Source organism: Homo sapiens, chromosome 7, assembly GCF_000001405.40.
Source record: "Homo sapiens chromosome 7, GRCh38.p14 Primary Assembly".
Taxonomy (NCBI): domain Eukaryota; kingdom Metazoa; phylum Chordata; class Mammalia; order Primates; family Hominidae; genus Homo; species Homo sapiens.
Window position 1 is genome coordinate 134026884 of NC_000007.14, and position 15315 is coordinate 134042198.

The 15315-nt window shown below is 40.7% G+C and overlaps 1 protein-coding gene across 10 annotated transcripts in view, besides 1 other annotated feature; it reads left to right on the top strand.

The window, feature by feature from the left end:
- EXOC4 (exocyst complex component 4) overlaps nucleotides 1–15315 on the top strand; it is an 847874-nt gene that overhangs the window by 773806 nt on the left and 58753 nt on the right. The window lies entirely within an intron of this gene.
- Nucleotides 7319–7519: a silencer, noted in NCBI's record as "peak6744 fragment used in MPRA reporter construct". NCBI's record gives its function as "represses an SCP1 promoter by STARR-seq MPRAs in K562 erythroleukemia cells {active_cell/tissue: K562}" and the evidence as "EXISTENCE:reporter gene assay evidence [ECO:0000049][PMID:32103011]".

Consider the following 15315-nt stretch of genomic DNA (forward strand, 5'->3'; position numbering starts at 1 on the left):
TATAATTTTAGGATGTTTCTGATCCTCTGAAACTATACATGTAAGAAAATCAAGAGTTTGGTTGTTACAGTATGTTGAACTATATAGTTACAGATTTAGTTGGTTCCAAAAAGATTTTTTTTAACCTGTATATGACAAATGGGTGTTTTAGTGATTAAGGGGGGGGATTCACACAAAAATAAAACTATCAAGGTGATTGCTATCAAGGAAAAGAAAACTCCTTTAAAAATATATAGTATATTCATTTTTGTTGTCCTTTGTCACTTTAACAGTAGATGCTGAAATTACCAGAAATAACAGTAATCTGTATTTATAGTCCTCCTGTGAATCTGAAGGTTTCCATAAATGTAAATTAATTTGGTTCTACTCTCATGAACTGTGGAGGAAACAGAAGCGAAATATTCCCAACTACCCCATCCGCACTTCTGTCTGAGAAAGACAGTGAAAGAAGGACTGAGAATATGAGGAAAAAAGCAGCAAAAACTGAATTGGCTGGCTGGGCACCGTGGCTCATGCCTGTAACCCCAGCACTTTGGGAGGCCGAGGCGGGCAGATCGCAAGGTCAGGAGATCAAGACCATCCTGGCCAACATGGTGGAACCCTGTCTCTACTGAAAATACAAAAATTAGCTAGGTGTGGTGGTGCATGCCTGGAATCCCAGCTACTCAGGAGGCTGAGGCACGAGAATCGCTTGAACCCAGGAGGTGGAGGTCGCAGTGAGCCGAGATCACGCCACTGCACTCCAGCCTGGCGACAGAGAGAGACTCCATCTCAAAAAAAAAAAAAAAAGGAATTGGCTGAGCTGACTTTGTAGTTCTCATGGGGTTAGTGAAGGAGAAAGAAGCAGAGCTCAGAGACGGGATTTGAATTTGGTAAGAATAGAGTCCTGGTTGGCTCAGATCACTAGATCGTACTGTCAGAAGCTCAGAAAGTCTTAATTGAGTAGGACCTTAGAGATGGTATCTTCTAGCCCCTTCGTTTATCAGGCTGGAGACTTGCTCTGAGAGATGGAGTAACTGGCCACAAATGATCCAGATAGGGCTAGAACCCAGATTTCTGAACTCGTTTTTCTGGGCTCCCTCCTGGAGCTCTCAACACCCCTTACAGACTCATGTCAGGAGCTCTCAGCCTTATTCACATTCTCCCTGGGAAGAGTGATGCCCTAGGGCAACGATAGGCAACCCAGGAAGATGATTACTAGAATCCTCTGGAGGAGGAGGGTCATTTTGTGGTGTGTTTCTGATACAATCCTAAGAGTATCATGTTAACCCCATTAACCATAATATCCACCTTCTCTAATACTAGAGTAACATTGCTGTGGACACATCTTTACAAACAAAAATTACTATGTGATGATAATTATGACTTCTGTTCACATACTCAAGTCCTTGTTGCTAAGTAAATGCAGAAAGATTATTAGTTTTATTAGCCTTTGATATTGAAATTGTCATGTTCTCTCTTAGCTATGAAGACCTGCTCTGCCCACATCAACTTGGTTATTTTTTCGTAAGGAAATTAAAGTAGAAATTATAACACAATTACTATCAAAATTCTACTAAACTATAAGTCGAAACAAAATATAAGAACCGCAATTATGTGAGAATAACATGTGGGAAACTGTTCCTGCTGCTGAGATGCGTAAAGTGAAGTCTTTGGAAGAAGGCATGGAGTTACTAGGTAGCCGCAGTGTGGAGGGTGGCTGGACTTCTCTGTCGCTAGCAATGGGCATGGTGCCATTGCCAATGCTTGGAAGATGAGTGTCTTCACCTAACTTGTTAAGTGCCAACTAGTCTTCTGCCTCCAATGAAGATTTCTCCTTTGTGTGCACAGGTTCTTCTACTGAGCCCCAGGAGTTTAGGGTCATCATGTGCCCTTAAAGTGTGGAGTGATAAGAGAGAATCTCTATACCTCTGACCAATTTGGAGGAAAGCAGAGATTTAGTGTTGGGGCCACTTACACGTAATCTTCTTTTTCTCACTTTTTCGCTGAGAGGAATGTGGTCTAATCTAGACACCTACTGGCTGCCTTGAAAGAGCATTCTCAGCTATACTGGCAGATCTAGCAAAGAGATGTGAAAGGATCCTCAGGTGGCCCCTTCAGGGGTCTTTCTGAGGAGTCAGGAGGAACCAGCCATTGTGATGATAAGACACCCACCCAGGTGGTTTTCTCTTAGTGTGATAAAGGAAGCTGACCCTGTCGAGGCCAAGATGTTCACCCAGTGGGTTATCCTTCTTATGCAGAGGGATGACGTACCCTCAGTATCCAAAACATTCTAATGTCTTCATTGTCTGTTTACATTATGCCTCCTCCTCACTGTGGGAGTTCCAAGAAGTTTTGCGTCTTTCCCTATAACTTTTATAACTTTTGCCACCACCCTGACTGATCTCCTACAACATACAACATGGGTAAACCTCAAAAACATTGTGCTAAATGAAAGAAGCCAGTCAAAAGAAACCACGCACTTTATAATTTCATTCATATGAAGGTCCAGAATAGGGAAATCTATAGAAACAGAAGTAGATTAGTGTTCACTTTAGGGCTGGATGGAGAATAGCGGGGAAGGGGATGAGCACTAAAGGATATAGGGTTTCTTTTTGGTGGTCTATTGATTGATTGATTGATTGATTGCTTTTATTTTATTTATTGCTTCATGAATGACAAGGTTTTACTCTGTCACCCAGGCTGGAGTGCAGTGGTGTGATCACGGCTCACTGCAGCCTCCACCTCCTGGGCTCAAGTGATCCTCCCACTTCAGCCTCCTGAGTACCTGGGACCACAGGCAGACACAATCACTCTCAGCTAATTTTTTAAAATTTTTGAAGAGACAGGGTCTCACCATGTTGCCTAGGCTGGTCTTAAACTCCTATTCTCAAGCAGTCCTCCAGTGTCAGCCTCCCAAAGGGTTGGGATTACAGGCATGAGCCACCATGCCTGGCTGGTGGCCCTTTTAAAGTAGCCTTTTCTTAGGCTCTTACATATCTTTGGAACCATCCACTATTGGGAGCTTCTCTCCACTGCTTTCTAAAATGAGAATAGCCATGTACAAGCATATGATTTAAACTGTTTCAATATCTGGAACGTTTCCTAAAGAAGTCACTTGCTTGAGGTTATAACAGATTGGCAAGGGGTCAGTCATTCCATTCATACATCAAATATTTATTGAATAAATGTGAGAGCTAGTCATTCCTGGAGCTACAAAGATAAAAATATGATTCCTATTTTTACACAGTATAGCACAGTAGACCTCAGTAATGGGAGCAGAACTTTGTGATAAGAATTAAGAGAGGGAAAGCATTAAGGTAAGAAAGGAGGTTAAAACCTCGTAAGATGCCCTCCTAGGTATATACCCAAGAGAAATGAAAAGCATGTGTCCACACAGAGACTTACATACAAATGTTTATAGCAGTAGGTAGTATTCATAATAGCCAAAAGGTAGAAACAACTCATATGTCCATCAATGATGAGTGGATAAACAAAATGTGGTATATCCATGCAGCAGAATATTATGTGGCCATAGTGGACTTGAAGTACTGATACGTGCTACATGCTGCCAAGTCTGTCCTGCAGACTCTGGCCAAGCGACAGATGGAAGAAGTTCACTGGCACAGGTATTTTGCCTAACAATGCGGCTAGAGGACCCCACAGCTTAGCACCGCTGATGAGAGTGCAGTGCAGCCACAGCAGCCCCCATAAGGTGGAGACACTTGCATTTATTTCGTACAGATTTAATGACAAAGGCTTGGAGCAAATACACTTTGTGGGTAATAAACCTTGTTGACCCGCACCCCCCCTCTGCCCCCCCAGCTCACCCCCCCGCCCCGAGTAGAGAGCAGTCCTGCACACGACTGATCAAAGGTTGGTTTCTGGAGAGAGTAAACAAATTTATCTAGATAAGTCTCTTTACAGTCCTTTGTTATCGACCCTTTGCTGTCAGGCTCCCAATAAGAGAATTTGGCTGCCTTCAGCCAAATTTTCTTTTGAAGCTTTTGCAAAACCTCCTGGCCTTCCAAGAAGTTTTGCATCTTTCCCTATAACTTTTATAACTTTTGCCACCACCCTGACTGATCTCCTACAACATACAACACGGGTAAACCTCAAAAACATTGTGCTAAATGAGAGAAGCCAGTCAAAAGAAACCACACACTTTACAATTTCATTCATATGAAGGACCAGAATAGGGCAATCTATAGAGACAGAAGTAGATTAGTGTTCACTTTAGGGCTTGATGGAGAATAGCGGGGAAGGGGATAACAGCTAAAGGATACAGGGTTTCTTTTTGAGGTGAAGAAATGTTCTGAAATTCATTATGGTCCTGGTTGTATATATCTGTAAATAGATTAAAAGCCATTGAATTTTACACTTTAAATTGGTGATTTGTATGGTATGTGAATTATATCTCAATAAAGCTGTTTTTTGAAGAAGAAAATAAGAGCAAAAACTGAGAGCAGTGGTAGGGAATAGCAGAGAGTTTTTGGTTTTGTTTTGTTTTTGTTCTCTCTGTTTCTCTAAAAGGGGAAACATTTTTATGGGTTATGGAAAGACAGACGCAAGGTTTATAACCCTGCCTGGAAGTAAGGAAATGGTTTTGGTAGTCTTGGTGATTTTAGTGTCATTACTATCATCACTGTTGTTATTAAGAGTTGATTGTGGAGCTAACTAGGACTAAGGAGCTTCCAGGTAGAGGAGGAGTAGATTACACTTGGGAGGGTAGAGACAAGTATTACTAGTTCAGAATCTGACACCTCCATCCAGCTGGAAGAAGACTTGCTTATGCTAGAAAAGGAACTATGCTGCCATAAGCTACTGAAGAAATAGCAATTCCAAAGTTAGAATGGATGCATCCAAAGAAGAGAAGGAAACTTCTATGCAAGTGAATCTAAGACTCCATTATAAACCCATGAAGTTAAGAAGAGCTAAAGAAGCATACAGAATTATTTTGTTTGCAACAAAGTTTTTTTTGTAAGTTTTCATTTGTTGCTGAATCTCTCTCAGTTGTGGTTATTTTAATAAGCAGTGAGTTTGTAAAGTCCTGGTTTAAAATACTAAATGTCTGATCTCCCTATTAACCCCAAGCATCTGAGATTGTAAATCATGACTCTTTGTTGCCACCTGATGACAACAAAGAGTACAGCCCTTCTGGAAATACTAGCCTTTCTAGAAACAAATTAATTTCTTGAAAGCTGAAATTAGCAATCAGTGATTCAGAGATGTTGACAAAGGCTTTTTATAAGTTCCTTGACCTTGATATGAGAAAGAGGCCTCTTGTCATAGGCATCTTAACGCATACTGAAGTTTTTTCTTATAACTACATTACCTAGAAAGCAACATCCTCCATATTGAAAGTGATTTTCAATATATTACACTAAAGCATTCAGTGTGTATTGCCCTAAGTCTGTCAACAGTTTCTCCTGCAGTTGTCGCTGATGTCACTGTCCAGTGGCTGCTTCTCTCATGTCTGAACAGCTGCAAGCCTGTTCTTACTGTTGCTGCTGTCATCACCATCACACACAAACTGTTGCCCCTGCCACCATCTTCCTGCTGCTAATGGGACTGATTGGCACCTCTCCACACCACATCAAGGTGCAGGAGCTATTTCCCCTGCCAGGCTCAGAGCCATCTGACACCTCTTACTGCCACCATTCATTATCACCCTCACAGCAGTGAAGCCAACAGGAACTAGCTCAGTCCTGAGCTGGGGGGCCTCACTGGTGAAGGGAGTGCGGTGGCCACCTTTCTGCCTGCAGAAGCAGCTGGGCCTCTCAGACTGGACCTGGGGACTCAAAAAATTCTGTACTTTTAGGGGTCAGCACATTAGAGCCCCAGCATGTCTCTTCTGTACTGGTTACTGGAGATGAAAGCAATTAGAAAATTATTCTGTTTAGGAGAGTGGACAGCACCAACAGCTTCCTCCTCACCATGTGCCTGCATAGGTAACAAATAAGCAATATTCTGCCCCTTCCTGACCACTGGGCAAAGATTAATGCCATGCATTGAAAGTTATTTTTAAATGTCCTCAATTAGCTATAATATTTTTAACAAAGCTTGTAAGGTTTAGGTAATGTGTAGGGTATAAGATGGCAGACTCATTACTGTACTTTCACAGAGAAACAAAAAGGAATAAATCCACAACTGAGAAAGAATAGGAGGATTTACCAATAAATAAATGACAGCAACTTTCTGGATGATAGGAAGAAGATGGAACATTGTTAATGGATAAAGTAGTTGGGGAAAAGGAAACCCTCAGTCTGGAATGTGCAACGAGGACCTTGGAGAAGTTCCATGTTCATAATCAGCAGTTCAAAAAAAAAATGTCAGAGTGCCAAGAGAAACCGAAAATAGAGACTAATGAAAATTTTCTAGACATAAAAATATATATCCTACAGGACTATTTTCTTCACCCCTCCAAAATGTTGGTATCCAGAAGTTGTTCTTGAAAGAGCCATCCTAGGAAATATTTAGGGAAAGTCAAGACTTCTGGTGTGGATGTCAGAGGACCAGAATAAAACATTCATTTTAGCACTGGAGGGAGAGGTCCCAGCCTGACAGTTGGCATCCCACCTGCTCATCCTAAAGAGAAACCCACCTGTTAGCACCTTCTGCACCACCCCACATAACACTCCCAGGAACTCCCTCCCTCTAAGAACCTTTTTAGAAACATGATCTTGCCTATACTTAGAGGCCCAAGATCCAATTGGAGTCCGAGGAAAAGAGAACAGAGAATGAAGGGGAGGGGAAATTACTGAAGAACTAGTAAAAATGCTTTTCTAGAACTCAGGAAGGGCCCAAGTCTTCATATTAAGAGCCTGTTGGGTGCCCAGTTCAGTGAATGAAGAAATAGCCTCACCTAAAACACAGCCTCATGAATTTTCAGAATGCCAAAAGTAAACTTATAAAAGCTCCAGAGAGAGGGGCATAAAAAAAAGTCAGCTGGTATCAGACTTATGATCAATAGCACTAAGTGCTAAGAAATAATGAAGCATTCTTTCTCAGCTCCAAGGTAGAATGATTTCAACCTAGAATTAGACATCCAAACAGTGTATCGGCCAATTTTGAGGGTGCAATAAGGGCATCTTCAGATTTATAAAGACTTGGAAAGTTGACTTTTCATGCTCTTCTTTCTAGGGAACTTTTTGAGAATGCATTTAAGCAAAGCGAGTAAATAAACCACAAAAATCAGAAAACGTCGTGTCTAAAAGAGACTTGATCCAGCTCAGAACAGTGAAAAGGTAACCATGAAGCAGGCTTAGAGAGGAACCAGTCCAAATTGGGATAATGAGATACAGCTGTTCTGGAGAAAGTTCTCTGGGTGGGAAAAGACTCAAGAAAATAGGTAGTATGATGGAGAGGTTGAAAAAGAACCTAAGATGTGAAAAACTCAAGTAGTACAAGAGAAAGGAAAGGCAATTGGAAATTTTTAGGAAAAAAAGCAACTATACAGGAAATGTGTGGCCTGCATGCAAAGTGAACTTCTAGAAGCACCCTCTTTGAGAGGCCTCAAGGCTGTGATATAGTTAGGCTTTGTGTCCCCACCCAAATCTCATCTTGAATTGTAATCCCCATAATCTGTACATGTCAAGGGAGAGACCAGGTGGAGGTAATTGAATCACGGGGGCAGTTTCCCCCATGTTTTTCTCGTGATAGTGAGTTCTCATGAAATCTGATGGTTTTATAAGGAGCTCTTCCCCCTTCGATCAGCACTTCTCCTTCCTGCAGCTTTGTGAACAGGGTGCCTTGCTTACCCTTCACTTTCTGCCATGATTGTAAGTTTCCTGAGGCCTCCCCAGACATGTTGAACTGTGAGTCAGTGAAACCTGTTTCCTTTATAAATTATTCAGCCTTGGACAGTTCCTTATAGCAGTATGAAAACGGACTAATACAGGTTGTAAGTGACTGATAGAGAAGGAAATATAATCCTTAGCATCACTGGCCAAGCACTATTTGTGTATATGTGATGGCGTAAATGCTTTTTATTGTTTTTCGTGAATCATCATGCAAACAAAGCATGAAAGACTCCATTGTGTTTGCAGGATAGTATGTAAATGTTTATCTTCACCCAGCAAAAGTAAGAATGTAGCTGAGAGAAAATAGAAGGTGAGAGACAGAAATATGGTTTGGGGTAAAGAAGGAGATAAAAAGGTTTTTTTTCTTTTTTCTTTTCTTTACTTTTTTTTTTTTTTTTTGAGACAGAGTCTCACTCTGTTGGCCAGGCTGGAGTGCAGTGGCATGATCTGGGCTCACTGCAGCCTCCACCTCCTGGGTTCAAGCCATTCTCCTGCCTCAGCCTCTGGAGTAGCTGGGATTACAGGCATGCGCCACCATGCCTGGCTAATTTTGTATTTTTAGTAGAGACAGGGTTTCTGTCTGTTGGTCAGGCTGGTCTTGAACTCCTGACCTCAGGTGATCCACCTGTCTCAGCCTCCCAAAGTGCTGGGATTACAGGCGTGAGCCACTGCGCCTGGCCAAAAAGTTTTCTTAAAAGGGTCATTAATAGTGTCATCGTAAAAGTGGGAGTAGGCAGGAGATTTGTTGAAGTAAAAATAGTGGTTTAGGTAGTTAATTTAAATTACAAAGAACAGCATTTTCACACAAAAATGCTAAAATATAACCATAAAATACTAGAAGAAGGAGAGCAGTATTACAGATGAGCCATATCTTTGTCTTCCACATCAGGAGATTTATCTTTTAGGATACTTTTAACTGCGTGTAACAGAAAACACTGACTTAAGTGACTTTAAACTTTTTTTTTCAAGTTTTCTCTCATCTAATATGAAGTCCCAAGGTAGGGTGGCTTGTGGGTGGGCTAATTCAGTAGCCCATTGATGTCATGAAGAACCCACGTTCTTGCCATCTCTCTGCTCTTCCTTCCTTAAGGTGTGTTGGCTTCATCCTCTGAAGCTACTCCTGTGGTACAGGGTTGCCTGCTGAGTTTCCAGGCATCACAGAGACACATTGGAAGAAGAGTGTTTCCTTCTGGGCTTTATCTTCATCAGCAGGGAAACATTTCCTAGCAGTTCCTCAGCTGACTTCCTCCCATGTCCTGTTGGCCAGAACTTGATCACACATTCCCCCTAAACTAGTAACTGGCAACGGAAATGGAGAGCTGCTTTCTTACGGCCACTCTTCAGCAGATTTGATTTGGTGGAAGTCCCTGGAAATAGCAATTTGTATCTCAGCATGAACCTAAGACTTAAACGTGACAACTGTTAATCTCACCTTTCCCTTAATTGATAAGTGTTCATACCAGTAGACCTATTACAGACAAGTTGTCTGTGCTGCCCCTGTATGAGTTTAATGACAAACGTAATTCAGAAAAAAAGGCCACGGTGACTTTCTAGTTTCCTTGATCAGTAATTTTCCCTTGAGATATAGAAAGAGAGCATCCTTCTCTCCAGCTTATGTATCATACCAAAATCCTCAGAGCTGCCCGGGTGCAATGGCTCAAGCCTGTAATCCCAGCACTTTGGGAGGCCAAGATGGATGGATCATTTGAGCTCAGGAGTTCAAGACCAGCCCAGCAAATATGAGGAAACCCCATCTCTATCAAAAATACAAAAATTATCTGGGTGTGGTGGTGCATGCCTGTTGTCCCAGCTACTCAGGAGGCTGAGGTGGGAGGATCCCTTGAGCCTGGGAGGTTGAGGCTGCAGTGAGCCATGTTCATGCCACTGAACTCTAGCCTGGGAGAGATAGCAGGACCCTGTCTCAAAAGAAAAAAAAGAGAGAGAATTCTCAGAACTGCTGAATGAATTTTTTCTTGGATTAAACAGCTTTATATAATTCATAGATTCTAGAAGTTTCTTCATCTCTGCAAATCTATAGATTTTACATTTACATATGTAGATATTCTGTAGAGACAGAAGGTTTCTGTGTCACTTCTCAAAGTTTCCTTGTTTTGCTTGGTGAGGTGGAAACAGAATGCAAACTAGAGCTTGAATCCCACATTTTACTAGTAGCTGCTTAGCCCCCAGTAGTTTTTAACCTTTTAATACTTCGGTTACCTTACCTATAAAATAGAGATGATTTCTTTACACTTTAGGGTGGTTGTAGATAAAATGAAACTGCAAGTAAAATGCCCAGTACAAATAGAAGGGGGAGATTAGTGATTATTTATTCATTCTTATTCTTCCTATTGTAATGTGTAAGAGGATTCTAGCACTTAGTTTCCCAGTTTTTATATTTTTGATAGTAGCTTCATGTTATTGAAAAGTGAGTCAAATTAGGGGGCAAGGCAGAGGAATTTAATTCTCATTTTAAACAGCAATATAGTAACAAGAGGAGAGATGAAAGGCAGCAAGGATAAAGACCGAAGGTACAAGATATCAGTGGTTTTGACGAAGTTTTCTCAATCAAAGACTGCAAGCTGCTCCCACGTTGCCCAGATCCGGATCCTACAGAGCTCCATTGAAGGGGATTTCAGTGGAATGGTTTCCTCACAGAAGGAGACCAGGGTGACTTTATTTCTTCACTGAAACACTTTGATTATAAAAAGAAATCAGATGATCAAAAAGCATGAGATGATGGGTGAAATATGTTATATGATTATAATTCAATAATAATTGAATTTCTCTAGCATTTTTCCCTTGTGGGAGGCTCAGAGAAGTTCAGATGTATTATCTGAATTCGTTTCGGCATACATTGGTGGAGAGGGGCCCTGTGTTAGGCTTTCCATTCTTCACACCCTACCCAGGCCATGAGACCGGAGCAATGTTCCTGTAGCTTTGGTACCCGTGGCTTTATAAACATGAACGTGAACATTTTAGGCACAATTTAGAAGGGGATTATCCGCATCCCTCCTCAGGGAGAGTCCTTGAGTAGAAGTGTCATCTTTCCAGTTCCTTCTGAATCCCCTTCGAGCAATTGCTCTAGGTTCAAACAGTTCATGAAACAGAATGCCACAATGAAACTGAAGACTTCCTATGAGTTTTTACAAGTTCTTATTTCCCAGTGATGTCCCAGGAGTTCTTGATAAAAAGGACCTTTTTTCTTTCTAGTATTCCAATTATAAGATAGCGATCCTCAGCATCTTGCTACTCACCAACTCAGGTGTTCTCTGATTCTGATCCCGGGGAGTTTTTTCAAAATGCCTAGAACTGTGAATAACAAGGTGCAAACATAGATAACTTATCTTCCACTGTTTACCTTTAAAAGGTCAAGACCCAGTGCAATCTAGGCCCCCTATACCTACTATGGACCACTCAGTAGAACAGACATCACATTTCCTGAGGCTAGTCTGAGAAGCATGGGCTAAGGAGTCGCAGTATCGATTGTATAAGGATTAGCATATCTGGCAGATGGGAACTGTCTGAACTCATTCAACTGAGAGGCATCTGCATCAGGCGGATTGGCATTGCTGAACTTTCACACGGCAAATTGAGGATTTTAACATGCAGCCCAACTTCTCCTGTGGAGATCCAGTGAACACATAAAAAGGTTTCAGTCTTTATGAATTCCTGGATATATTAGGCATTACAGAATAAAAATATTTTCCCAAGTGCTGTATTGATACTCTAGGCACCTATACTTAACATTTATGTTCTTCGGGAACCACTCCATGTAGTCAGATATTCAGGGATTGTTGGACTCTCGTTTCTTTTATATATCCTTTAATTGCCTTAGACTGCTGAGCTTCATTATGTGGGTCAATTAGTCTTTTTTGAGAAATCACTTCTAACACACTAATTTTATTCTCTATTGCTTCCTTCTGATTCCTCATCTCTTTCCCAGTCTCCACCCTCTAACTCATTCTCATTTTTATTTTACTTCTCCTGTTTATTTACCTTATGTTCCTTCGCTATCCTCCACGGCCCCATGCCCTCATCTTCCCAGAGAGTGCTTGAGGCCTAGACCAAGCAGAGCAGCCACACCACAGGCTGCTCCCAGTCTGTGTCACTTACCATTGGCAGTAACTAGGGGCTCTTGGAGCATCCCTGAGCTATCAGTTGGAAACAAGCTCTTCCTAGGTCTTGACTAGGTCTAGGTCAGGATGCTGAGAATCAAGATGAATGGAAGTTTGCTTACCTAGCAGTCTCAAAGCACTCCAAATGCACATGTAAAGAGATACCCATGTGTGTCTACATGGTAAATCCCATAACCTGTGTTCCCACTTCTGGAGATCCTGAGGTTTCTGCCTTCATTTTCCTTGGGGGAACATGGAAAGGTCCACTCACCTTTACTTTGTTCCCCTCTCCTGCTTCTGTGTATGGTCTGAGTTGACATCTTGCTTAATCAGAAATAGAAATGGGTGAAAGATTGCTATATGAGGCCATAATGATCAATAGATATAGATAATAGATAAATGTATATGTACTCACGTAGGTATGGTATACACCTACGTAAGGAGTATAGGAGTATAAACCATGTACTCCTAACTTGGAGTGCATGATAAAGCTTCAGGGAGTGCATAATAAACCTTGGAGTGCATGATAAAGCTTCAGGGAGTCCATAAACCCCCAAAATTATATGCAAAATCTGTGTTTATATAGATGTGAATTTTTTCTGGCAAGATAGTCCATGATTTTACCAAATTTTGAAAAGGTGCTGTGAGATTCTAAATCCATTCTCTTTGGCTGGCTGTATTTACTTTCTTGTTCTTAGAATTCTGAACAAAACATTAGGGATCAGAACAGGCAATCACACATACTAATGCTGAAATAAAATCATATTTCCAGGTCTGCTAGTGTTGTCTCCTTCACCACTGCCCTCCATCATAGTCCTCCATTCAGAGCTGACCTCTACCCCCAGCTGGTCATATTGCTTTTCCTTGCTGCCCCAGTACAATGAGCAACCATGGGAATACAGTCTCAGGATACCCAGGTTTTCACTATACTGAAGAGTTTACATGCAAAGCTCATCATCTTCTCTCATACAGCAGGTCCCCATTTCTAACTTTGATAGCATTCTCATTCAGGAGGGAAGTCTTGGATGGTTGTTCACTCCTGATTCTTTTTCCTCATCTGTATCTGGTCCTAGCAACTCTACTTCCAAGTTTTCAGATATTAGTAACAGACTAACAGCTTCATTAACTTGGATTTTGGTTCTCTGTGAAAGTAGCCTCAAGATCTGCCAAATCTGAATCTTAGTTCCATATTCCATCCCTTAACCTTAGATTTCACATTACACAAATTGCCAACACCTCTCTATGGCTCACCCATCTGTCCTGTCAGCCCTTCATATCCTGTTAAACACATAGACTTGTTGACTCTTTCTTCCTCCAAATCTGGAATAAAGCGACAGTCCCACAGCTGATGTTCATGTCTCTTGGTCTCTTCCCTTCAGCCATCCTTTGTGATGTAGATAGACTAATCATCCCAAGATACTGCTTCTCTGAATTTTTTGCCCAATCCTTAGAGTGACTTTTTTATAAATACACTATTTGGCCCAAATTTGTCAGAGTTAAAGAAAAACTTGCCTGATAACTGTTCTTTCTTAATTGGCCAGCATCTTCTCTCATTATTTAAACTTATGTTCCCACTGATTTGACAGTCTTCTTTACATGTGACTCACGGTGCAACCTCCATGCCTTTATTCTGGCTGTTCTGATTCATTCTTCAACTCCCAGCCTTCAAAACACATCGCACTCCCACCCCTCCTCTGGAATAATTGACTGCTCCAGTTGACCCTCATTTTTCAGTCTTCCGAAGTCATTGCCATGTTACTTGAAACCTCCATAATGAAGCACATGGCGTAAAACAGATATTTAATAAATATTTGATCATTTCAAAGATAGTTTTCCAACCAATGGAATTGAAGAGCAATAAAGGCATGTCTTGGGGAAAGCAGGTAGTGATAATGGCAAAGTAATCAGTGCACAAATTTTTAGCAATATGTAGCTAATTCTGAGGTAACTAAAGCTCAATTAACAATATTTGTAATATTGCATGTCAGCAAAGAAAAATATGTAAGCAAAGCATGTTTCAGGATGATCCTTCTAAAGGATAGTCAATCACCTGTGGTACTATCATCAATGGTACTAGTATTGGTCAACATATGTGGTATAGGTGGTCGGGCCTTCTCTTTAACTAATCAGATGAATATTTAATATAGCTTCCCAAGCCTAATCCTTGGCTGAACTGTGACACATGATCAGCTGGTGTGTACCTCTACCCTCTAATAAAGCCGAACCATGCATTTTCCTTCCCCTCCCCAAACTGATGGTAAAACCCACCAAATTTGCATATAGCCTCCTCTCCCCATGATTATGGCATCAGATGTTTATAGATGGTTCTGTTTGAGTTGATCCTAAATAAGGGAGACTTTTACCATTGTAACTGCTGTTCCCAAAGCGTAACATAAACTGCTTTAGTCAGCAAAATATATATATCATCTTTGCCTTGGTAGATATTGAATTGCTGACTCTCTCTTCTTTAGACCCAGTAGTCATTTCTTTACCTCCTTAATTTATGCATGAAGCCAAAAGAAAAATTACTTCATATTCTTAATAAAAATGGCATAAGGTTTAGATAATTTTTTACTATATGCAGTAAAAATGCAAATGTGTGTGGCTTATTTGCAAATGTAGACATTAATAACTGATATTTAAACAGTCCAGATTAGCAATTTTACTGATATATTTAAGAGATTTTTCCAATAATTTGCACACTCAAAATCAATTTGAATACAACATGTAAATTGAATTTAATTTTTTATATAAAATTGTGGTTATCAGCTTGAACCATTAAATTTACTATTTAATATATGCTTTCCAGATCACTTGGTTAGAATTTCATTGCACCTTATCTATATAAATTTAATTAGGCTTGATATCATCAGTATATTATAGAACTAATTAAAGATTTAGATAAGTGCTGAGGGGGCTTATTGAAAACTCCATAAAGTTCCATTTGGAAAATGAGATATTCTTCCTTCAGTTCATTGTGAGAGAAGGAAACAGCAAGAATGCTTCTTGCAGTGTTTCTGAAAAATTATTTAACTGGATTTAAAGGGCTTATTCCATTCTTTGAAGAGCTTTTTAATTACTCTCTATCTTTGTGCAGTCCAACAACAGTTACAATCTTTATTTAAAGGCTTTAAAAATCCTCATTTCCATCTTCTCCCACTGAGCCAGCTGTGTTACATTCTGCTGGGCATATGTGCAGGTAGGTAGTACAGGGTTTGTGTACCCTGATTGCGATCATATAATATGTAGCAGCATTTGTGGGGAAGTCTATCTAGTCCTCCCAAGCAGAATAAACATTGAGAAAGCTCAGCGAGCGCCTGCCACAAATGTCTTAGGAAAAGGGAAAAGAAAGAAACCCTAGCCCAGGAGGATACCTGGGAAAAACTGAGGCTTCCACTCAAAAGATACAGCGACTTTAA